Consider the following 23,095-nt stretch of genomic DNA (forward strand, 5'->3'; position numbering starts at 1 on the left):
CAGACAAACACAATCTAAGCTAAAACCCCTTGCCACACAAACGCAGAGGCCTCCAATGTCTAAATCCCCAACACACCACACGTGCTCGCCTGCACGATGCCTTCCCAATCTGCGTGACTGTCTTTGGCCCCATCTATAAAGATGCTAGTGCCCCCACTGGGTGGAACTGTCAGATTTCAGGTTCTCCCGGTCTGCAGATTTGGGGCCATCTTTGCTACTCCGACTTTGTGTGTATTTAAAATGGGGGAGGCTAGTGGGTGGACAGAAGTTTGCATTCCTGGGTTGACTGCACCTTATTCTAAAACCCGGTTTAAGCTGTTTTATGAAACTGACATTCCCATCTAAGCAACCTGGAGAGGGTGAGGACAGGTGATGAGGTCGTTGCATGGAATTGGAAGAAGGGTTCTGATCACGATGGGGCTCACCCCTTGTGTGGGTGCCCTTGGCTCCTGCACCCACAAGCCGGAGTCAAAAGACTCTGGGGAAATATTCGAGGAGTGAGTGAGGGCATGTGCAGAGGGCTCAGAGCGTTTGTTGCGCCGCTGGTCCACAGGGCATAGTAATCTCGCCAACTCAAAGAGTTGGCACCAAAAGGTCCCCAGAGCCAACTCGTGTAATCTCTTCATTTTACAGATGCAATGTGGCCAAGGGAAAACCTGCAGCTATGGCATGGCAGAGTCCAAGTGCCCTCCAGGCCTTCTTTTTCCCTGGGTTAGCGGCACAGTCTTGCTGGGGTTGCGACTGAAAGTAAGGAGTAACCCTCAGCTGTGCGAATGCACTGAGGAGCTGAGTATGGCCCAGTACCCAGGAAACCAGCACAGCAGGTCACCAGAGAGAGGGGCTTGGGAGGGGCAGGGGTGTCTAAAGCCCAAAGTGGCCTGGCCCCCTTCCACCTCTAGCTGCCTGTCCACTTGCCTCCAGAAGGCCTGGGTTTGTGGGGAGGGCGGAGCAGGGGCCAGGGGTAAGGAGCAGTAAGCTAAGCTCAGCTTTTCTGCCTGGCCACCCTTCAATCTAGGCGTCCTTCTTGGGTGGCCCCTGAAGACAAGAGCCCTGGCACTCAGCCCCTTCTGTTATTTCTGTTGGTGTAGGGAGAATTTATGGAGGGAGGCAACAGACTCCCTCCCTAAATTTTTCCTGCACCAATGTTTTAAGTGAGAATAGAAAAGAGAATGGCAAAGGCTTGGTGAATGCTTGGTTGCAATATTTTTGTGTTCTTCCGTGGTTGTTTCCTCTTTTTCTTTCCATCTTCCCTTCTTTCTCTGTCCTTTGACATTTAAGCACGGGAAGGACACAGGAAAATGTGTGCCAGACACTCTTCTTTGGGTCAGCCTGAGACCCATATGTTGGTAAACCAGACACCTAAGGAAACTGTCCCTACAAGTCGGAGGATTGGGTCTCTCGCCCCTCATCTGAGGAAGGGCCTTCCAAAGCGGCCGCCTTCCCTTCCCATTCACTGGCTGCCTCCTTTGTGAACTAATGACTGTAATTATTACCTCCCAGAGCTCTTTTGTTATCTCCAACCCCAAGCCCCGGAGAGGGGGAATGGGCTCTTTAGTGAAATGAAAGTCATTACAAAGCAAATTACCGTCTAGGGAGGGACAGCCTTCAGGAAAGACAAATCAGATCTCCATCTGCATCTGAAGTAGGGTGTGTTTAAATAAAAAATGTAAATATCACCATTAGATCCAAAGTACTCCAGAGCTGTGGGATTTAATGGAGTTTAAACGGTAGCACTTGAAGCCATTGCTTTACCAAAAAGAAAAAAAAATCAGTTAAATTCAGGTGTTTTAATCCGTTTCTTCTTTGGGGGTTTTGTGTGATTTAAACGCTTGCTTTTAAGAACCTTTATGTTTTCAACCACTCATCCATAGTAGAAAAGTTCTGCAACCCTAGACTGCTGGCTTGAAGGAAAACCTTTGCAGGATTTGATATGGATTTCAACAAAGAACCAGCCTCTGCGAGGCTGGAGAGAGCTGCGGAGCTGCCATGCCTGAAGTGCAGATGGCTGAACCACAAGTCTTTAGGTTTCCGGAGTTGTTATTGTGGTGACCTAGAGTGTCAGAGCCAGGAGAGCAAGAAAGAGGAGCCAAACTGAGCCCTGAGTTTTCGACCACCCGGGCTCCCACAGCCTGGAACAGACTTCACCTAGCACGCTCAGTGCCAGCCTTCGGCAGGACGCTATCAACGCCCGACTGGTTTCCTGCTCTCATCCTGGCGCCTGGGCCCAGTTGCCATAGTGTGGATCCCATGACTCCTCAGGGAACCCCTGGACTCAGGCACGCGAGAAGAAGACAGCGCTTTGTGGAGAGAATTGACCAGGGACAGTTATGCTCGAGCACACAGGACTTGGGCCTGTATGCGTCCAGCATGGGCCCCAGGATGTCCCTTCTAAGCGAGGGTCGAGGGGTGCTCGCCCAGACGGGATCCCCGGGTCTCTGCTTTGTTAGCAGCTTTGGTGGCTGGTTCAGGAGGTCAGAGAAATAAAACGACTTGTGAACACAATGGAAATGACAGGCGCTCTGGCCAGGCGCGGGGAAGGCAGCCGCCTCGGGAAGCCGACCTCAGCCCTTTCCTCTCTCTCCCTCCCTCCGTCTCCCCCAGAGCCCCGGAGCTCCGAGGTGCACTTGAAGTTCATCTCCACTGCCAGGAGAACGCAGCGCAAACTGTCAAAGGGCTCCCAATCCTTAGGGCGTCCTCCCTGTCTGCAATAGCTTTTTGTAGAAAGGAAATCATCAGAACGATTCTGACTTTCTCCTCCTTTCTTTATTAGAAAAAGAGAAACCGCCTCCTAATACGCCTCAGAGAGAACCAATCTCGCGCTTCCGGGTCACCCGCTACCGCGAAGATTCTCTGGGGGCGAGGGGGGGCATTGGTTTGAAGCCCCTTAAAACGAGGGCCCTGCAGGCGATGCCTTCTTTCCTACTCGGATTTGTAAAGCCGAGATTGCTTAGTTGGAAACCCTGTTCTCCCCTCCCAGGCGCACACAGATCCCCCTTACACGCAAGCAGCGGGCGCTTCCACGCCTCCGCGGGCCAAGGTCACCAAATGCCCTGATTCCATCCCCCACCCGCCATCAATCCTGCCGACTCTGGCCGCTCTGCCTCATTCTCTTCCAAGAAGTTTCCATTCGTTTTATTTTTTTTTCCCCAGCCCGAGGTCCTCAGTAGACTCCAGCGTGGATTTTAATTGCCTCAATCAGCAGTCATTCTCCCCAGCCGTCACTCAGAGCCTGGACGGTGGGTCCCGCGATCTAGCCCTTGGCTACGCAGGAACGGTGCGCCCCCGGGTACGGCGCGGTTCAGCAGGCAGGCGTCAGGTTCTACCAAGGCGCTGAAATGAGCCCATCAGCGGGTAGGAGCCCTTCCCCCGCCGTCCCCTCCCCAGGCTCGTGAACGGCGCCTGATGCCCGCCCGGGGCGCGAGCTCTCGAGGTCGCAGTGACCTCAGCACCTGCTTGGAGGAAAACGGCGCGGGAACCCCGCTTCCTTCCCCTCAGCTGGAGCCAGACCTCAAACAAAACCCCAATCGATGCACACAGAAAACTCCTCTGGGCCACGCTTCCCGCCTCGCCGAGGTCTCCCCAGTCTGCCCCTCGCTGACGCTGGCGCGCAGCGGCTGTGGCAGCACCCGGGACAGCGGCCGCCCGCACTTCCCGCCTCTGGCTCGCCCGAGGACGCGCTGGCACGCCTCCCACCCCCTCACTCTGACTCCAGCTGGCGTGCATGGTCTGCCTCGCATCCTCACGACTCAGCTCCCTCCCTCTCTCGTGTTTTTTTCCTCCGCCGCCCCCTCATTCATCCCCACTGGGCTCCCTTTCCCTCAAATGCTCTGGGGCTCTCCGCGCTTTCCTGAGTCCGGGCTCCGAGGACCCTTAGGTAGTCCCGGTCTCTTTTAAAGCTCCCCGGCTTCCAAAGGGTTGCCACGTCCCTAAACCCTGTCTCCAGCTCGCATACACACACGCACAGACACGCACGTTTTCTGTTCCTGCGTGACACCCGCCCTCGCCGCTCGGCCCCGCCGGTCCCCGCGCGGTGCCCTCCTCCCGCCACACGGGCACGCACGCGCGCGCAGGGCCAAGCCCGAGGCAGCTCGCCCGCAGCTCGCACTCGCAGGCGACCTGCTCCAGTCTCCAAAGCCGATGGCATCTCCGGGCTCTGGCTTTTGGTCTTTCGGGTCGGAAGATGGCTCTGGGGATTCCGAGAATCCCGGCACAGGTAGGAAGGAGAACGGGGGCCTGCGGCGGGCGAGTTTTGCGGTGGTCTGGGGTTTGCGGAACTACGGAGAAGACGAAGGAGGTTTTTCCACCTGCAACAGGAAACTTCTTCGGGCGCTTCTCCCTGCTTTTGGGCTAAGTCCTTGACGGCCCAAGAGCTCAAGACCTCTACAGCCTCTTGTACCCTGGGAAGACGCCCAAATAGTCTCAGGCCCGTTCCACAGAAGGTTGGAAGAGCCCCCCAAAGACCGCGGTGTCTCGGGGACATGGAATTCCGTGGTCCTGGGGCGCTGCTAAGATCCGGGTGTCTGGACCCTGGGGTGGGACGGAGTGACCGTGAAGATAGAAAAAAAAAATGGGAAAGGTGAGAGATTTCTTTATCTAGAAAGACAGTCTGCGAAAAAATGGATAGCTTCAGTGTTTAGGAAAACTCGTCCAAGGTAGGCAGGGAGAGGAATTTGCCTGAGCCGATTGGCACCTGGAAGGGCAGCGGTGTGGGCTTCTCCTCGGGAAACAGATAAAGGAAATGAGGGCTGGCCCGGGCCGCCAGCCTCCCGCTTGCCTTCTGCACCTGCCGGCCTCACCGAGTCCTGAGCGGCCCCCAGGAGGAAGGCGGCCCCTCCTAGGACCCCGGACTGATTGATTTTCACATAGAACGAAATTTCACACGTCCGTCTGTTGTTCTCTTTCTGCCTCGCTGTCTGCCTGCCTATTCTTCCTTGCAGCGCGAGCCTGGTGCCAAGTGGCTCAGAAGTTCACGGGCGGCATCGGAAACAAACTGTGCGGTGAGTGCCCAGGGACCGGGGCGGCCAAGGTCGGCCCGCGGGGTCCAAGCAGTCTTCTCACCTCCGCATCCCAGTCAGCGGAGTCGGGGTTTCCTGGCTGCGGGTAGGCGGGAGCGAGGGAGCCGGGCCCGGCGGAGGATTGACGAGGCCCGCGTTCGGTGTCCTTACCCAGCCCTGCTCTACGGAGACGCCGAGAAGCCGGCGGAGAGCGGCGGGAGCCAACCCCCGCGGGCCGCCGCCCGGAAGGCCGCCTGCGCCTGCGACCAGAAGCCCTGCAGCTGCTCCAAAGTGGATGTCAACTACGCGTTTCTCCATGCAACAGGTAAAGACTCAGCGGGGAGCCCCGGGGCGCCCCTGCCCCTCTCTCTGCCCCGCCCACCGCGGCCGGTGCGGGTCCGGCGCTGAGAGCCGGACAGGGGCGTCGAGGTGGCAGCGGAGGCGGGACCTGCCAGAATCTTCAGATAAAAGCGAGAAATGCGGGACCTGCCCGCTGGGTCCAAGCCCCCGAACCTGGCCTCGGAGCTCCAAGAGGGCTCTGAGGCCGTGGCGCTCTTCCCCCAGCGCGGCCCTTGGGATGGCGGGTGGCCGACGATCCAGGCGCTCGTGCGCTCACTGAATCGATGACGGCTGGCTTCCCTAGGCCGCTGGGGCCTCGGGTGGGACTCAGTTTCCAAATACCGTGCCCGAGAATTCAGAATTGCATTTTTTTTAGGTCTTTAGATCACGAGAGTGATTTGTAGCTGCAATTGCACAAGAGAACGATTCCATTCACATGAAACCCGCGCGCCGAGTTTTACCCCCGTGCACTTACACACCGTCTCCCAAATGTACGCGCGCACACACACATGCAGACACACATGCATACGCTCTCTCTCTCTCTCTCACACACACACACACACACACACACACACACACACACTGACTTTAGAAACAGCGGGCCTTCCTATCAGACCAGAGATCCTAATGCACCTGTTCCACTTTGGTTTGCCCGAAGGCATTCGAGACAAACACTTCTGACGTGAAATATTTATGTAAACATGTAAGATGGTTTACTGAGAAACACGTTTAAGACGAACTCCTGTGAACTAGATAAACGGAGGTACACGCTCTTCAAAAAAAGAAGGCAAACAATATAAGTTATGAATTGAAATGCAGTAATTAATTTGGGGAAGAGAAGAAATCATAATTTATCTCATTCATTCCCTTCACCTTTGAAAAATGTCTCCCTTTTAAAGAAAAATGTTCTGCCTTTCCAAAAGCTTTATCTAACATGAAATCTCTCAATTCAAAGAAATGTTATTGCCTCATCAAGATCTTGCCTTGAATATTTTCAAAGTAAAATTAAAATGTGGCATTTTAATTTCATTCTTTAGACCTGCTGCCGGCGTGTGATGGAGAAAGGCCCACTTTGGCGTTTCTGCAAGATGTTATGAACATTTTACTTCAGTATGTGGTGAAAAGTTTCGATAGATCAACCAAAGTGATTGATTTCCATTATCCTAATGAGCTTCTCCAAGAATATAATTGGGAATTGGCAGACCAACCACAAAATTTGGAGGAAATTTTGATGCATTGCCAAACAACTCTAAAATATGCAATTAAAACAGGTATTGTCTCATCGAAAATAATAAAGCTCTTTTTTCGTTTACAATTTTTATTTTATTTTTTTCTATAAAATGTTTTGTTTGATGGAGTTACTGATATTTTCAAAATTGCAAAGTTATTTTCATCATGTAAAAAATAGTCATTATTAGAATGATTCTAATCCAAAGCACCTTCCACTGCTATTGTTCATGCTTCTGAAGTTGATAATGTCAGAAACATGATTTAAGTGTAAATCATCAGATTTTACGTTGCATGTATTTGGACACGGAGGTTATACCACTGGTATAGAAGCAAATATTCATCAGCAGAGACCAGCAGAAAGAACTCAAAGTGGAGAAAGAGAATATGGAAATAAAAGCTCGAAAAATGCGTGATCCAAACAAAAGCCCGAATACCAGTGCTGTGCTGGTATTTTCTTTGGCATAAAACTGATCAGAAACAGGACTCACCACCCTATTAATCATTGAGTGGGAGGGATGTTTTCACATTGTGTCAAATGGCCAACCTTTCAGATTTGAATTCAGATTTTCACTTATTTTTAAGGAAATGTGCACAACACACAAGCAGGCATGATACAGACTAGCTTAGCAATTCAGCCATGTTATATAAGGATGTGTGTTCCTCCCAGCCACTGTATATGTGAGATAAAGAAAAAGGGGGGGAGGGGCAAATCAGATATCCTTAGGGGGAAATTTTTTTAAATGTACTTTTGTGGTCTCTTGGCTTTTCACAGGAGTCTTTATATTCCATCCATATTACAGCTTCATTTATAACATTTATTTGGGTGCATTCCGAGCTTTCATGTTATCTACACAAAGTCAGCCATTCATCTGCCCAGGTCTTGATTACCCTCGCTTTTTACGTTGTCTCTAATCATCCTGATACACGATGGCTGACACTTCATTACGGCAATAAAAATAAGTATGAATGAATTTCCAGGGGTGGGGAGGACTTTGTGGATCGAAGTTGATGTGTAGCCTTTAAAAGATTTGCTAGCAAATAAAAAATGTGAAATATGACATGAACATTCATCACCATAGAAACGTCATCTTTTTAGATTGCAAACATTTTGCTGATGAATTAGCAGTATTACGCTAATCAATAACAAACATTCTTAAAATGTTTGCTGTGAGAAGTTTAGTTCTTTTTTTCTTTTTGTTCACATTATTTGTACCAACAGAGAAGAAAGGTAGGCATACAAAAAGCCTTGGGACATAGATTTCTATCAAAGTCAGGCTATGGAATAGGAGTTTTGAAGGTGTATTAGACATCATCCTCAATTAACGTTCATGAAGAACCCACGTGATGTTTATACCAGGCATTAAAAATTTTCCTACCCCTCCTCAGCTTTTCCTGCATTCATAGTGCAATCCTGGGTGATGCTTTTAATTCATTTTTTGACCCATTCCCCATACCTTATATTTAGATACGTTAATAGTAAATTGCCACCTATTGTTTGTATTGCTACCAAACCAAAAAGAACCTATGGAAATGTTTTGTGTCTTCATCCTTGAAAGCTAGTGGTGCCTGAAATGCAGTCTACAGAGTTAAGATAATGGGAACTGCAAGTCAATGAAAGTAATAGTTCTGTCTATCAACGTTGCATTTAGTGCCAGGAAAAGATGGGCTAATTCAATACTTACATTTTGCCATAATGCTTATGAAACTGTTAGGTGTCACTGTAATGCATTTTATTTAAAGTTCAGATAAAAATGTGATGGATTAAGTTGGATTTCTAAGCAAGGCATATCAATTCAATCTCTCAATAGTTTTCATAACATATTTAGTCTGCTGGCCTTTTCCTTCAAATAGCATTTCAAAAAATTAACAGCAGTCATTTTCTCTATTCAGCTGGCAACTTTATAGATTTCTGTGCTATAACTGTCATACTTGTCATCTAATGCTATTTAGGGTATGTCAAATTAGTTACCATCCTTGCTACTACCAGACATTTTAATACTCCTCAAGAGATTATTTTATAAAATGCATATTATCATCTTGTTTCTACTGAGAGACCTTAACCTGATTTCCACTTGGGCTCCAAGCTTAGAGAGGAGTGAAGGGCAGTGGGAAAATGAAGTCTTCATGGATTGTTAAAATTACCTCTGTAAAAAGAAATGTTGGAACACGGAAAACTGAGCAGAGAATGATAGAATTCCAGAATAATTTGCATTTGCAGAGATCATTAGATTTGGTGCTAGTGGTGGTGGTGCTGGCTGGGGAAGAGTAGGACTTAAATGTGGTCCTGAATCTTTTACCAAACCATCAGACAAAGGGAATTAAGCGTCAGTAGATGAGGCAGCCCTAGTGTGAGTGTTGCCAGGACATAAAGAGCAGTTTGGACCGACTTTTGGCCTCTTCCCAACTGATCATGAGCACAGGGTCAGAGTTGCCTGAGGCTGGTTGTTCGCAGAGTCTGCGCATCCTTCCGGGCTCATTTGCTAGTCTGCAGGGAGCATCCCTGAGTCTGAGCAGCCAGTTCTCACATCTCAAGCTCGCCACCTTCCTGGCTGCATAGGCTGTGTGGCCACCCAATGGCTGACGCAGTGCGCTCTGCTCCCATCACAGGGCCTGGCAGGGTGGCGACAGCAGCAGGAGGCCAAGGGCTGCAGGGACACCTGACCTATGGGGGCAGGTCTCACAATTCCTTGGAGAGAGCCCTGCCTTGATTTGCTGGGCAGCCCTAGGAAGCAGCCTGTAGGGGCCACAGGATGGGAGCAAATGTCACTAGGGGAATATTTCTGCCAGAAATCGAGAGAGCCTGTTGATCTGACCTGTCAAACTATCTCCCTCCCTATTTTCACATCATCATCAGGGAATGAAATTTTTGAGGCAGGAGAGATTCAGGTGAAATGGCAGAGCAAGGTCAAAATATATATAGGGAGGAAGGGAAACCTAGCAATGAAAGCGTCAAACCTGTTTTCACTGTTTACGGAAAGTTATCATCAGGGTGAATTGGCCTTCTGATATCCAGAGGCACAACACACCCCTCACAATCTCTCTCCATCTTATGCACAGGTTTTCATTCCCAAGTTTCCCTAGAGTTAAATACTGTCTAATCATAGACACCACATTCATCCAGAAAATGAATATGAATTATAATCCTTATTAATTTCCTCACTTGAAAAAAAAAGGGTTAGGGAAAGAGAAATGAAGGAGCATCGGGAGGGAGGAAATGGCTGTGATTTCAGCTGCGAGCATAATGAAATGGGGAGTCAATGAGGCAGAGAGGAGTGAAGGGTTGCTCCAGACCTCAGTGGCCACAGCAGCAAAAAAGCCTTCTCACCCTTCGTGGATGGGTAAACTGAGGGGGTCAGCATCAGAGATAGAGGGGTACCACACGAGGCCACAAGGACATAAAACAATGCTGGAGAATGTACAATAGATACACAAGTCCTGATCCCGCTAAAATGGGCTCCCTCCCAGCTTATATCTTTACCCAGTGTCTGTCTGGCCACATGCCTGAGGCTGATAAGAGAGCACTCCAGTGCAGGAGATAAGCTAGCCATTGACTTTTGTCCCTGCTCTTCCCCATTGCCTTCCTTTATCTTGTTTTGCCTGTGCTGGAGATGAGAGACAATCACATCCCAGGCTTCAGACAGATGTCCAGGATGTGGAAGATACCTTTTTATCAGATGCTATTTCCACAATGGCCCATCTTCTAAAATTTTTGCTGCTGTGCAAATCACGGACCTATCGATGACAGGCTTTTGTGGAGCAAGAGGAGAAAACTGAATGCTAATGACATATTTATAATCACATTTTAAATAATAGCCTCAGGAGAGTGTGGATGTCAATCCATTTAGAGAGTTTTAGAGGAATCTAGAAGTTAATTAGATAAGCCTTGCGATGGACTAATCAGTCGATTGAGTATATCTTTCTGTATCTTGTTGATAAAACAGTGATGTTGACTGTATGTGGCCTTATTTTAAATCACAACTATGGAGGAGCGCTGTTGTTTATAATTAACAAAGAAGAATTGACAAGAATTAGCTTTGTCCATGCCATCTTTAGACAATCATCACCTTTTGAATCCAGGGCAAATCATTCAGCAGAGTGTCCTATTTTCTCATTTTTGCCCTGTCTTTTGTAATCATCAGCCATTTGTCACTGATATTATTATGAATGTTGGCATGCCTGGCGGATGTCATGGTATGACCGATTCTCAGAACGACTACAAAAAAGGACTTCTAGCAGCATGAGTATAAAGGAGAAGTTACCTGTCTGAATGGCTGTGGGTTGCAGTAGCATTTTAGCTTGCGAAAATATTGAAAATAGAAAAGAGACTCATGCAGATTGCAAACCATATTTGTTATATTTATAGGGTCCGATTAAAGGAAGATTTGTAGGGTATGTTTTAAGAAATATCAAAACCTAAAGTAGTCTTCGTGGTTAGAGGAAACGCTTTTATGGTGTGTGTGTGTGTGTATGTGCATGTGTGTGTGTGTGTGTGTTCTTGTGCATACACACGTGTGTACATGTTGGATTTCTACTTATGGATTTCCTGTTACTGACAGATCTTTCAAGGTCCTTTAGCTAGAGAAATCATGTGTTTGAGAGGCATTTATTTTCACTGGAGGCAATCCTGATTCTGGTATTCCATTTTATTCAGGGCATCCTAGATACTTCAATCAACTTTCTACTGGTTTGGATATGGTTGGATTAGCAGCAGACTGGCTGACATCAACAGCAAATACTAACATGTAAGTAGCCAAATGTGTTTTTATGTAATTTAGGATAATTATTAGTGACATTCCATAGTCTTTACATCTTATGTGAAAATCTGTTTTTTATTAAGTAGCCACTAAAATAGTGATACAAACTTCTGAAGTGTGAGTGTTCACTTTAATGTAACAGAAAGTAGTCCTGATACATCTTCCATGTAATCAAACTCTACAAAATTTTTAAAATACAAAAGAGACTTTTTTCTCACGTTTGATTTATTATTGTGCATAATGTCAAAGACAAATGGGACCAGATATTATATTTTAAATCATGTTACTCTGCAATATTTTTTATTTATTCAATACAATAAATTCCCCTCGTGCATTATGTCAGTAGTTGGAGCTCTTGACTGTAGGGATATAGAAAAAATAAACATTTTGGAAGGCCTTTTTGAAATAATTTTCTCTCTGCTTAATGTTATAATCATAACACTTGTAAATGTATGTTTTGAAAAAGGAAATAGTTCTGTAGCTATTGTAATGATTGTAAATTATTTATCTGAGTTACAGAGGTAAAATGTGGCCATTACTACATTTCAGGTTCACCTATGAAATTGCTCCAGTATTTGTGCTTTTGGAATATGTCACACTAAAGAAAATGAGAGAAATCATTGGCTGGCCAGGGGGCTCTGGCGATGGGATATTTTCTCCCGGTACATGATATTTCAACTTTCTTTGTGTTTTTTCTTCTAATATGCAATGCCTTGTTGTAAACCTAGGGAAGATTAAAAATCTAGCCTATGCCTCTGCTTAGGTTAAATAGACTGTGTGTTGATCAAAAGAATGACTGTGATTAAGTGCACATGACCATTGAACATGCCTCCAAGCTAAGTAACCCATGCTTGAACATCAGTTATTTGTGTGCAAAGTGAGCATAATCAGAGATGGTACTTACCCAGTGCTTCTACTGTGACCCTACAAACAGGATGTACGGATAATGTGGAACAAAGGAATCAAGATTCCTAATCAGGAAATTCACTCTCTGATGCTCTTCCTAGAATTAGTGAAAGGAAATGGGTAGCCTCATTTAATAAAGCATTTGCTGTTCAAGGGTGCATAGCAAGGTATATCTACTCAGTAGAGCATATGGACCACTCTGTCTTTGAAATAACAAGCACCAAAGTGGATTTACACTAATTTCAAGGAGGACAGAGAACGCTTTGGGAGAGAATTTCTTAGAGCAAAAATAGAGGGTGACGATTTCTTCAAGAGATTTCTCATCCCTTCTCTTCTTTATCATGCCATTCAGTCTTTTCCATCCTGCCTTTTTATCACCAGCCATTGAATTCTAAGCTCCATTACTTAGACCTCTTCCAGCCAAGAGAATCAACCTGAAACAAAAAGCTGTGCCCTTGGTTTACAGTTCTGTGTGTGACCTTGGTTTGATGCAGAAAAGAAATAGAAGTTAGGAAGGCAATGCAAAGAGAGTCACTGACCCATGGAAAAGAAACCCGATGTGCAGACCATCAGCTAATCAGTGGCAGGAGCGGATGTCATTAGTCCACTGAGACAGGACCCACCTGAGAGAGAGGCCAGAGCAACACCTGTCGTTGTGTCAGACAGAGCAAAGGCCAAGTGGTTGTGCTCTCTCTTCAGCAAATCTACAAAGACAAGCAAATGATGAGGCGGGGATAGGGGAGAAAAGAAAAAGTGAAAAGAAGAAATGATAAGCAAGAGTGACCCCAAGGCCAGGGCTTAAGTTAAGCATGTTTGCCTGCAAGCTCTGGTCAGCTATTTTATGTGTTTAAATATATAGCACAATTTTTCAGGTGCTGAAGGAAAAGGTGTTAGTTAAATGGAAGGGAAAATTAGCCTTTTAAAAAGTCATTGAACACCAGCTGTGATGAATTTTAAGCTAGCCTTTATTTTTTATGGCACTTAGTACTTAGTTTTCCTTTGGAAAGCCATCCCTGTTGAGGGAGCTTGGTCATCATTGCCTGATGCTTTGAAAACATTGTTCATGAGGAATGAGGTGGGGTACAGAGATCCACATCATTTCTACCTTTCTTCTTCCCACCCTTGTGTGGTTGGTTATAGGATTGATCTGTCCCTGAGATGAATCAAGAACATGCTGGGCTCTATTTTTTTTTCTTTTATTTGCATTTATTTTATGCTGAATTTATTCCCGTGCATAAGTTTTAATGGTCCCCGGGAGTAGGGAGAGGACAGATGTACCTGTTGACCCTGAAAATTTGACTAATTTGACTAACAGCTAGGCCTAATTTACCTGGCTGGTCTGAAAAACCTACATGCCCCAGAAAACATACACCCAGAGAAATAATTCTCTTAGGCAGTTCTGCTAGGCTTAGAGCTTACCCTCCACCCTCACTGATAATGGGGGATTTTCACATGGAGAAGACTTCAGCTTGAGCATGGGAATTATAGGCTTCCTTGGAGCCTAAAGACCCATTTGCTCTTACGCCAAGATGCAAGCCATAGATGTCACACTACAGTGCAGTGCAGACATTGCAAAGTTGGGAGGAGACAGCAGAAAAGGTCATTGCAACCTGTTTCTGCTCTACTTTCTACAAGACATCACAGACGAGAAGTGGCTCATCACATCCTTACTGGCTATGGATGCTATTCCCGGGAGCAACCAGCCTTGCTCCTGCAGTAAAGGGTCTTACAATTTAAGGGGTGGGGATAGAGAAAGCCACACATCTTATGCATCTGGGATCTAAAAGTCTCATTCCCTGGGACTCAATGTGAAGAGTTAGGTCTGTGACTTAAAACATACTGTGTCATAGCTCCATCAATAATATCCAAAGCCTTCATGCTTCATGGAAAGTCCTTTAGGACTCCTAGAAGAAATCTGCTTTTGTGATGTCACCTACACTGGGAACCAGAGAAATACAGAGCATTCCTTACTGCTCAGCAGGTCACAAAGCACAAAGACTAAAGAGGGGCTAGGAAAGAAAGCTTGGCTTAGTCACCGACCTTTTCCTAGCTAACAGGGTTTTCATAATGTTTCAGCACTTGCTTTTATTCATGTATTTTATTTTTTATTTTTTTGAGACAGAGTCTCACTCTGTCGCCAAGGCTGGAGTGCAGTGGCACGATCTCAGCTCACTGCAACCTCCATCTCCTGGGTTCAGGCAATTCTTATGCCTTAGCCTCTAGAGTAGCTGGGATTACAGGCATGCACCACCATGCCCAGCCAATTTTTGTATGTTTAGTAGAGATGGGGTTTCACCATGTTGGCCAGGCTGGTCTTGAATTCCTGACCTCAGGTGATCTGCCCACCTCAGTCTCCCAAAGTAGCACTTGCTTTTACATCCTTTCTTAGAGGATTCGTAGGAAATAAGAGCAGGTAGGGCTCACGCATTTGTCCTCATGCCTCTGTTACACAAAACAGTCTTCTCTGCCTGGAGGCCCAGAAGCCTCTTTCTCTCACTCAGAGCTGCTGAGCCTTTAGCCAGAGGACAGCTGAGTTGCAGAGTGAGGTGTGGGAGGGCAGGGCTGGAAGCTTCAGAAGAAATGCACATGAAGAGCACTTTCTTAGGATACGTCTTCCCCTTTCTCTTCTTCCCTCCTTCCTTCTCCAGCCTCTTTAAGAACAACTAAATTCTCAAACAAGATCATTTTGCTCCCCACAAGGGACATTTGGCAATATCTATAGATGCTTTTGATTGTCTGGGGGAGAGGGTGCTATGGGCATCTGGTGGGTAGAAACCAGGGATGCTGCTCAACACTTTACAATGCCCAGGTCAGCCCTCACCAGTTATGTTGCCCAAAATGTCAGGAAGTGCCAAAACCATGAGCTAGGATGGAATTTCCTTCTGAAGCAGACCCTGCTTCCAGCATCCTACAGCCAGCCTTTCACACCGGGTGTCTGCTCAGAGCAGGCGTGACCTGGATTCTACCTGATTCTACCTGTCCTGTATCTCTAGAGTCCAGAAAGGAAGGAATCGCCCTGATTTTGATTGAGGACAGAGGCATGTGTCTGGGTGATGAGTGCTCTGTGCTGGGCAGCCTGCTTGAATCAGAGCCCAGGGCTCAAGAGACAAAGGTCATACCCCTGCCTGGGCCATTCAGCTTGACATGGAGCCCTCCTGCTCCTCAGCCACCAGGAAGGAGAGTAACTCACAACACTCACGTGACGGCAGGACTTGGGGTGTTCCCCTTGGTCAGGAGGTAGAGGCAGTACCTTCACTCTGCCCCATGGCCTCATGTCTTCCATCCCAGCATATTAATTTGCATTCATAACAATCTGTCTTTCCTGAATTGCAAACATCCTAAACTTCCCAACAGCCCTGCATTTTCTTTGCTTGTCAAGTGAGACTCTACTTACAAGACACAAATCTTATGGCGTGGAATCCCTGACAACTTTTGGATGACACAGAAAACGTAACACAATATGGACTGAAAATTCTCTTAGTTGTATGTTTGTCTATACTTATGAAATAAGTTTTGTTAGCTAATACAATTCTATTATTTCAATGATGTCTTTGAGAGGGAAGAACTAGTTTAGAGGGAATGAATAGATGAGTATGATGAGATGGACGTGGAGGTTTATCCTTTATAACAGGGGTCCCCAACCCCCTGGTGGTGGATCGGTACAGGTCTGCGGTCTATTAGGAACGGGGCCACAGAGCAGTAGGTGAGCAAGGGGCAAGCGAGCATTACCGCCTTAGCTCTGCCTTCTGTCACATCAGCAGCCACATGAGATTCTCATAGGAGCGTGAACCCTATTGTGAACTGCGCATGCGAGGGATCTAGGTTGCATGCTCCTTACGAGAATCCAATTAATGCCTAATGATGTGAGGTGGAACAGTTTCATCCCAAAAGCATTCTCCACCCCACCCCCACCAGCCCCCGACCTTCCATATGTGGAAAAATTGTCTTCCACGAAACGCATCACTGCTGCCAAAAAGGTTGGAGACTGCTGCTCAGTAAAAATTGTTGATTAGGCCAGGCGTGGTGGCTCACACCTGTAATCCTAGCACTTTGGGAGGCCGAGGCGGGTGGATCATTTGAGGTCAGGAGTTTGAGACCAGCCTGGCCAATGTGGTGAAACCCCGTCTCTACTAAAAATACACAAAAAAATTAGCCGGGTGTGGTGGTGCATGCCTGTGGTCCCAGCTTCTTGGGAGGCTGAGGCAGGAGAATTGCTTGAACCCAGGAGATAGAGGTGGCAGTGAGCGGAGATCGTGCCACTGCACTCCAGCCTGGGCGACAGAGTGAGACCCTGTCTCAAGAAAAAAAAAAAAAAGTTGATTAGCAGCTTACACCAGTAACAGCTGATTTATGTTAATCCAAATGCAAGGCACTGAATGAGTTGAAATGAAAAAAAAAAAGCTTTCTCCATCCAGATATAACCAGAATTTTACACACCTAGTGCAGAATGACCATGCTCACAAGCTGGGATGGAGGCAAACCTTTTGCTTTTGAATTAAAAACCTCTTCAAAGGGCTTCCAGCAAGAGTAGAATCCACTGCAGTTCCCCTTAGTGACTGAGATGGGGTGTGACAGTGGCACCTGTCCTGTCCCCATGTGCCCTCTGGGGTAGCGCCTTTGAGTCTGAGGATTCAGTTTAAAGATAGTCAATAGGTTTTTCTTCTGAGTCCAAGGAGGACTCAGGTCAGTGGAAATAAGGAATGTTGCTTGCATGTGAAATGAGGTTGATAATAAATAAAGTAACTGCGTGTTGCTGTGCACTTTAGGTGGCGCCATATCTAACATGTATGCCATGATGATCGCACGCTTTAAGATGTTCCCAGAAGTCAAGGAGAAAGGAATGGCTGCTCTTCCCAGGCTCATTGCCTTCACGTCTGAACATGTATGTGTTTCTTTTCCTTGCAAGTTTAAGGTTATGTTCCATAAAGCCCGAGTTTAAGGAGTGATGGCTGGAAATGCATTATCCCCAGAGGCCCTCTTTCTGGAAGACACCTTGGGAGGGAATGGGGGAGAAAGCTGAGTGGTACTATGGGGTGTCCTCCTTGACTCTTTGAAATTCAGGAAAACCCTCAAAGATAAAGGAGCAGCCTGGGCAATATAGTGAAACCCCATCTTCACAGAAAATTTAAAAAAAATTAGCCAGATGTGGTAGCACCTATGATCCTAGGACGCTGAGGTAGCAGAATTACTTGAGTTCAGGAGGTTGAGACTGCAGTGAGCCGTGATTGCACCACCACACTCCAGCCTGGATGAAAGAGCAAGACCCTGTCTAAAAGAAAAAAAAAAGGAAAATATTTTTAGCTCTAGTTCCTACCCTTCGCTTCTGCGCAATCAAGTTGCATATTAAGGGAAGGGGAAGAGGAGGGAAGGGGAAGAGGAGGGAAGGCAGAGGGACTGTGAGCTCATTTGGACCATTGATGCTACGCCCATGTAAGCAAAACTCCAGAGGAGCCTTTGATACAGTTTTTCTGTTTGAAAACTCAGCCCACTGATCTGATAGATATTCTGCCCTCATGGTGCCTTGAGCCTTTTTGTTTGTTTGTTTGTTTGTTTGAGACAATCTCGCTATGTCACCCAGACTGTAGTGCAGTGGTGCAATCACAGCTCACTGCAGCCTGAGCCTCAACTTCCTAGGTTCAAGCAGTCCTCCCACATCAGCCTCCTGGATAGCAGGGACTCCAGATATGTATCACCATGGCTGACTAATTTTTCTATTTTTTATAGAGACAGGGTCTTGCAGTGTTGGCTAGGCTGGTCTCAAACTCCTGGCCTCAGGTGATCCTTCCACCTCGGCCTCCCAAAGTGCTGAGATTACAGGCGTGAGCCACCATCATACCCAGCCTGAACCATTTAACATTCATCTTTGGCTGACTTGACCAGAGGTTTTGTTACCATAAAGAAATAGCACCGTACCAGGCACGGTGGCTCATGCCTGTAATCCCAGCACTTTGGGAGGCTGAGGCAGGTAGATCATTTGAGGTCAGGAGTTCAAGACCAGCCTGACCAACATGGTGAAACCTCATCTCTACTAAAAATACAAAAAAATTAGCCAGACAAGGTGGTAGGCAACTGTAATCCCAGCTACTCAGGAGGCTGAGGCAGGAGAATCACTTGAACCGAGGAGGCAAAGGTTGCAGTGAGAAGAGATCGCATCACTGCACTCCAGCCTGGGCAACAGAGCCACACTCCATTCTCAAAAAAAACAAAAACATAAGACTGTTCCTTCATGATCTCTGCCTCACAGTAGCCTGGGCTTTGGAATACAGCTGCCTCAGAGACAATCAGGAAGCCCTCTGATAGCCAGGGAACTAGGAGACAGGGAGGGAGGAAGGGCCTAGAGGGAGACTCAGGGCTCCTGTAAGGAAATGTCACTCAGGAGACGCAGGGAACCGTGGTGGGTCTCAGATCCAGATCCACCATGAACTTTTTCTATTTCCTATTTTAAGTGAGGTATGTGTATCTATGTGTGTGTGTCTGTCTCTGTGTGTGTCTGTAGGTGTCCATGACAAGGAAATAGATTGGAAATCAGTGGATACAGTTCATTACCACAGCAGTAGCTGTGGAATTAAAGGAAACTAGCAATTCCATGTTAACAAATTATCAAAGCATCTTGTTTTCAGTCATCTTTTGGGGTTTTATTTTGTGAAATGTCCTTCTTCAACGTATAGGGGTCACATTGGGCAAAAACCACACAGCCTAAAATTACTTAGTATTTTACCTTTCTGTTGCTGCTGGAACAAATGATCACAAACTTTGTGGCTTACAACAATATGAATGTATTACCTTATAGTTCTGGGGGTCAAAAATCTAAAATGGGAAAAGCAGGGCTGCATTCTTCCTCGAGGCTCTCTGGAAGATTCCGTTTCCTTGATGTTTCCAGTTTCTAGAGGCCACCTACATTTTTTGGTTCATCTTCAGAACCAGCAGCATAGCATCTTTGGATCTCTCTCTTTCTCTCTCTCTCACCTCTACTTCTACCACCACATCTCTTTCCACCTGTGGCTCTCCTGCCTCTCTCTTTTGGATCTACTCAGATAATCCAGGGCAATCCCCCGTCTCAACCTTAACCTAATCACATCTGCAAAGTCCCTTTTACCAAGTAAAGTAACATATTCACGGTGTTGAAGATGAGGATGTGATTTTTGTGGCAGGGAGTATCTGTTATTCAGCCCACTCTACCTAGTACCCCACCAGGAGATAACTTTCTTTTCTCAGCTTCTCCAAGGATAGAAAAACGTGATCTATTTTTCTCCTCAATTACTATTTTCCTGAAATGGGTTTGGACCCCTAAATAGTTACATGTTATTACATTCTCAGCCTCAAAAAGTCCAGATGATCTTTTATTGGGCGTCTTTTTCTTTTGGCTTCCAAGCTGCGTCCACAAGTTAAAATGAGTTTGGTCCAGCAGCAAGCCACTCTGTGCTCTCTGCCAGGCATCTCTGGTTTGGGCATGAGCTTCTCAGCCTCATGCTTTATGTAAATTGACTGAGACTTGATCAGGCCATGTGGTCTGAGGATCTAAAAATAACAATTTTGCTCTACCTTCTTTTCCTGATACTGTAAACTCAGTCTACTTTTTTTTTTTTTTTTTTTTTTTGAGTCAGAGTCTAGCCCTGTCGCCCAGGCTGGAGTGCTGTGGCGTGATCTCTGGAGTGCAGTGGTGCAGTCTCGGCTCACTGCAACCTCCATCTCTGGGGTTCAAGAGATTCCTCCTGCCTCAGCCTCTGGAGTAGAGTAGCTGGGACTACAGGCACGTGCCGCCACACCTGGCTAATTTTTGTATTTTTAGTAGAGACAGGGTTTCACCATGTTGGCCACGCTGGTCTTAAACTTCTGACCTCAGGTGATCCATCCGCCTTCACCTCCCAAAGTGCTGGGATTACAGGAGTGAGCCGCCACGCCCAGACTACTTCTTCATTTCTGAGAAAGAAACACAATTCGGCCGTATAACAACCATTTGACTCTCCCTTCTCCTTCTTGTGTCTCTATCTATGCATACAGTAGTGAAGGATCATTTGAATTACGAAGCTCTCCTAAAATACCAATAGGCTCTAACTTTGGCCTATCATTTGGGTTATCATTGCCTTATCATTTTTGACAAATAGTTTTTTTAATATATAACACCTTATATCTGACTACTATTTGACAGTTTCCAAAACACTTTGAAGATATGGAACTTTGATTCTCACAGCAACCTTATGGGACAAGTAGAACAGAGATTGTTATCTGCATTTTACAAATGAGGAGGCTGAAATTAGCTAGGTAGGTAGAGCCAAGATCAGACTGGGTTTACTGGGTCCAAGACCAGTGAGCTCCATGCACCGACTACCACTGTAGAAACCAGATTAAAAGATTCAGCAACAGAGCTTTGTATACAGCAGCTTATCAATTGACTTAACATCTTATACCTTCCCTGATCAAGTTTCCACCAGGAGCTGTTTTCTTAATGTGAAACCGATGCTAATTTGTGACTCTCTCTTTCTACCAAAAAACATTCTCATCATCTCGTAGGGTTGGGCTGGAGGGGGTTTTCGGAGCTCATTTAAAGCCGTCCTGCATCTTCTTGAACCCTTGACCCTAACCATCCTGGACAGGTGAGCTCTTAAAAGTGAGTCCTGCCTTTGAAGCTGCAGGTTAAGAGGTAATACGATCCCCATCGCTAGTTCCTTCTGGGCTCTAGACCTCAGACATTATTTTCAATTCATCATTTAGTGTAGCTTCCTTCTGGCTTCAGGCCAGGCCACATATTTTCTTGGTCTTTTCAGATTTTACAATCACACTGTCTCCACCAGCTCCAGAAATAGATCTCCAGAGGCAGAAAAAAGAAAATTACCAAGTCATTTCTCAAATGCCTTTTCTCCGGCTAGACAACATCAATCTTGGCATGGAGGCTTCTTTCCTCAATTGCTTGGCTGGCAGGGAGAAAGGATAATGGAGGGGCTGCTGTGTTGACTCAGTGAGGAGAGGGAGGCCATGGGTCAAGACAGACGCTGCTTCGGGTGTTCTCTCTTCACACATTTTGAGAGGTTTCCAAGGCCCAAGACTCCTAGAAAATCAAATGAGAGCCTTATAGAACTTGTGCCTCAGTGCCTGGGACACAGAGAGCTCTGCATAAATATCAACCAACTTTAAAAAACAACAACCTCAGCCGGGTGCGGTGGCTCACGCCTGTAATCCCAGCACTTTGGGAGGCTGAGGCAGGAGGATTACTTGAGGTCAGGAGTTTGAGACCAGCCTGGCCAACATGGTGAAACCCCGTCTCTACTGAAAATACAAAAATTAGCCAGGTATGTTGGTTGGCGCCTGTAATCCCAGCTACTCGGGAGGCTGAGGCAGGAGAATCACTGGAACCCGGGAGGCAGAGGTTGCAGTAAGCCAAGATCGCACCACTGCACTCCAGCCTGGGCAACAGAGTGAGTGAGACTCCGTCAAAAAAAAAAGACAAAAAAAAAAAAAAAATCCCACCTTGTTTTACAGATGAAGACACCAAGCCCCAGAGGTGGGGGATACTTTGCCCATGGTGTCACAGCCAGTCAATGGCAGAGCAAGATTCGAAGCCTCAGTAATTTCTCAATAATACCAACACTGCTCTTTATAAACTTTTTTTGCATTCAGTGTATTTTATTGAATTGAAAAATCATTCCTTTGATGTGTCATCTAAGGATAGGCTCTGGAATCAGACAAACACAGGTTGAAATGTTTGGTTTTATCATGTACTAGTTGTGTGACACTGGACAAGTTACTTAATCTCGCTATGCCTCAGTTTTCTGATCTGGGAAAGGAAAGTCATATTAATGCTCCTCTCATAAGACTGTTGGGAGGGTTCAATTAGACACCATCACTGAAGAGATTAGCATAGTGGCCAGCCCAAGACTGCTCTTTCAACTACTGGGTTGGATGTCCTAAACGCTTCTCTCTGGCTAGCTGCTCTAAATTCACTTGTAGCATCCTTTCTTAAATCCCATTTTCCCCATGTTGATTATTCTTTTTTTTTTGAGATGGAATCTCTCTCTGTTACCCAGGCTAGAGTGCAGTGGCGCCATCTCAGCTCACTGCAATCTCTGCCTCCCTGGTTCAAGCGATTCTTCTGCCTCAGCCTCCTGAGTAGCTGGGACTACAGGTGCATGCCACCACACCTGGCTAATTTTTTGTATTTTTAGTAGAGACAAGGTTTCACTATGTTGGCCAGGCTGGTCTCGAACTCCTGACCTCAGGTGATCCACCTGCCTTGGCCTTCCAAAGTTCTGGGATTACAGGCGTGAGCCACTGTGCCCGGCCCCGTTAGTTATTCTTGTGCTAATTTCCTGATCTACTGAACCAGGTCACATTACTATCCCTTCTTCCAATCTGAGCACTGAGTTTGTAACTTGGCATGTTTAGAGCCATAGGGATGGGAACAACATTGCGAGACTCTGTGGCCTTCTGCATCCAACCAGAAATGTTCACATATTCATGAAGGGAAGAGCCATTTTGTTTTCTAAATGACCCTTCACTCTGTCTCTGTTGCACCCCACCAAAGCTACCCACTTCTTTTCTGGCCACCAACACCGACTAGAGCTTTGCTTATCTGATGAGGAGGGCAACCTATTAAATTTTTCTGGTTGTTTGAATCAACTGTTTTCTTGTAAAACTTGAATAAGACTAAATTAAACAACTAGTCTTTCTGTGGCAAGCGTTTAAGAGTTCCAAGATTACTTTTCTCTAAAATAGAGAATCACAAAATCTCAGAATTGAAAGTGATCTTAAAGATCCTTTGGTTCAACACATCCTTTGCTGGAATCTCATCCCGTTCCCCAAATCTTCAGTCATACAAAGGCTTGGCAAAAATTAACTTGATGAGTTTTAGGTTCTCTCTTTAAAGTAGGTTTAGAG

The 23,095-nt window shown here is 46.3% G+C and overlaps 1 protein-coding gene across 2 annotated transcripts in view, besides 4 other annotated features; it reads left to right on the forward strand.

Moving 5' to 3' along the window:
* Nucleotides 1,116-1,683: an enhancer, noted in NCBI's record as "OCT4-NANOG-H3K4me1 hESC enhancer chr10:26502717-26503284 (GRCh37/hg19 assembly coordinates)". NCBI's record gives its function as "activates a minimal SCP1, AML or CMV promoter by ChIP-STARR-seq in naive and primed H9 embryonic stem cells {active_cell/tissue: H9 hESC(naive and primed)}" and the evidence as "EXISTENCE:reporter gene assay evidence [ECO:0000049][PMID:30033119]".
* Nucleotides 1,684-2,249: an enhancer, noted in NCBI's record as "OCT4-NANOG-H3K27ac-H3K4me1 hESC enhancer chr10:26503285-26503850 (GRCh37/hg19 assembly coordinates)". NCBI's record gives its function as "activates a minimal SCP1, AML or CMV promoter by ChIP-STARR-seq in primed H9 embryonic stem cells {active_cell/tissue: H9 hESC(primed)}" and the evidence as "EXISTENCE:reporter gene assay evidence [ECO:0000049][PMID:30033119]".
* Nucleotides 2,250-2,816: an enhancer, noted in NCBI's record as "H3K27ac-H3K4me1 hESC enhancer chr10:26503851-26504417 (GRCh37/hg19 assembly coordinates)". NCBI's record gives its function as "activates a minimal SCP1, AML or CMV promoter by ChIP-STARR-seq in naive H9 embryonic stem cells {active_cell/tissue: H9 hESC(naive)}" and the evidence as "EXISTENCE:reporter gene assay evidence [ECO:0000049][PMID:30033119]".
* GAD2 (glutamate decarboxylase 2) overlaps nucleotides 3,700-23,095 on the forward strand; it is an 88,187-nt gene continuing 68,791 nt past the window's right edge. The window contains exons 1-7 of one of the 2 annotated variants that reach the window (NM_000818.3): nucleotides 3,700-4,213; nucleotides 4,938-4,997; nucleotides 5,170-5,319; nucleotides 6,371-6,604; nucleotides 11,215-11,305; nucleotides 11,867-11,979; nucleotides 16,990-17,105. In NM_000818.3, coding sequence (NP_000809.1) covers nucleotides 4,138-4,213; nucleotides 4,938-4,997; nucleotides 5,170-5,319; nucleotides 6,371-6,604; nucleotides 11,215-11,305; nucleotides 11,867-11,979; nucleotides 16,990-17,105 — 840 coding nt within the window. In that variant the 5' untranslated portion in view covers nucleotides 3,700-4,137. The remainder of the gene's footprint in view (nucleotides 4,214-4,937; nucleotides 4,998-5,169; nucleotides 5,320-6,370; nucleotides 6,605-11,214; nucleotides 11,306-11,866; nucleotides 11,980-16,989; nucleotides 17,106-23,095) is intronic. The other variant, NM_001134366.2, reaches the window with a different exon arrangement.
* Nucleotides 5,426-6,054: an enhancer, noted in NCBI's record as "H3K4me1 hESC enhancer chr10:26507027-26507655 (GRCh37/hg19 assembly coordinates)". NCBI's record gives its function as "activates a minimal SCP1, AML or CMV promoter by ChIP-STARR-seq in primed H9 embryonic stem cells {active_cell/tissue: H9 hESC(primed)}" and the evidence as "EXISTENCE:reporter gene assay evidence [ECO:0000049][PMID:30033119]".

Source organism: Homo sapiens, chromosome 10 (genome assembly GCF_000001405.40).
Source record: "Homo sapiens chromosome 10, GRCh38.p14 Primary Assembly".
Classification (NCBI taxonomy): domain Eukaryota; kingdom Metazoa; phylum Chordata; class Mammalia; order Primates; family Hominidae; genus Homo; species Homo sapiens.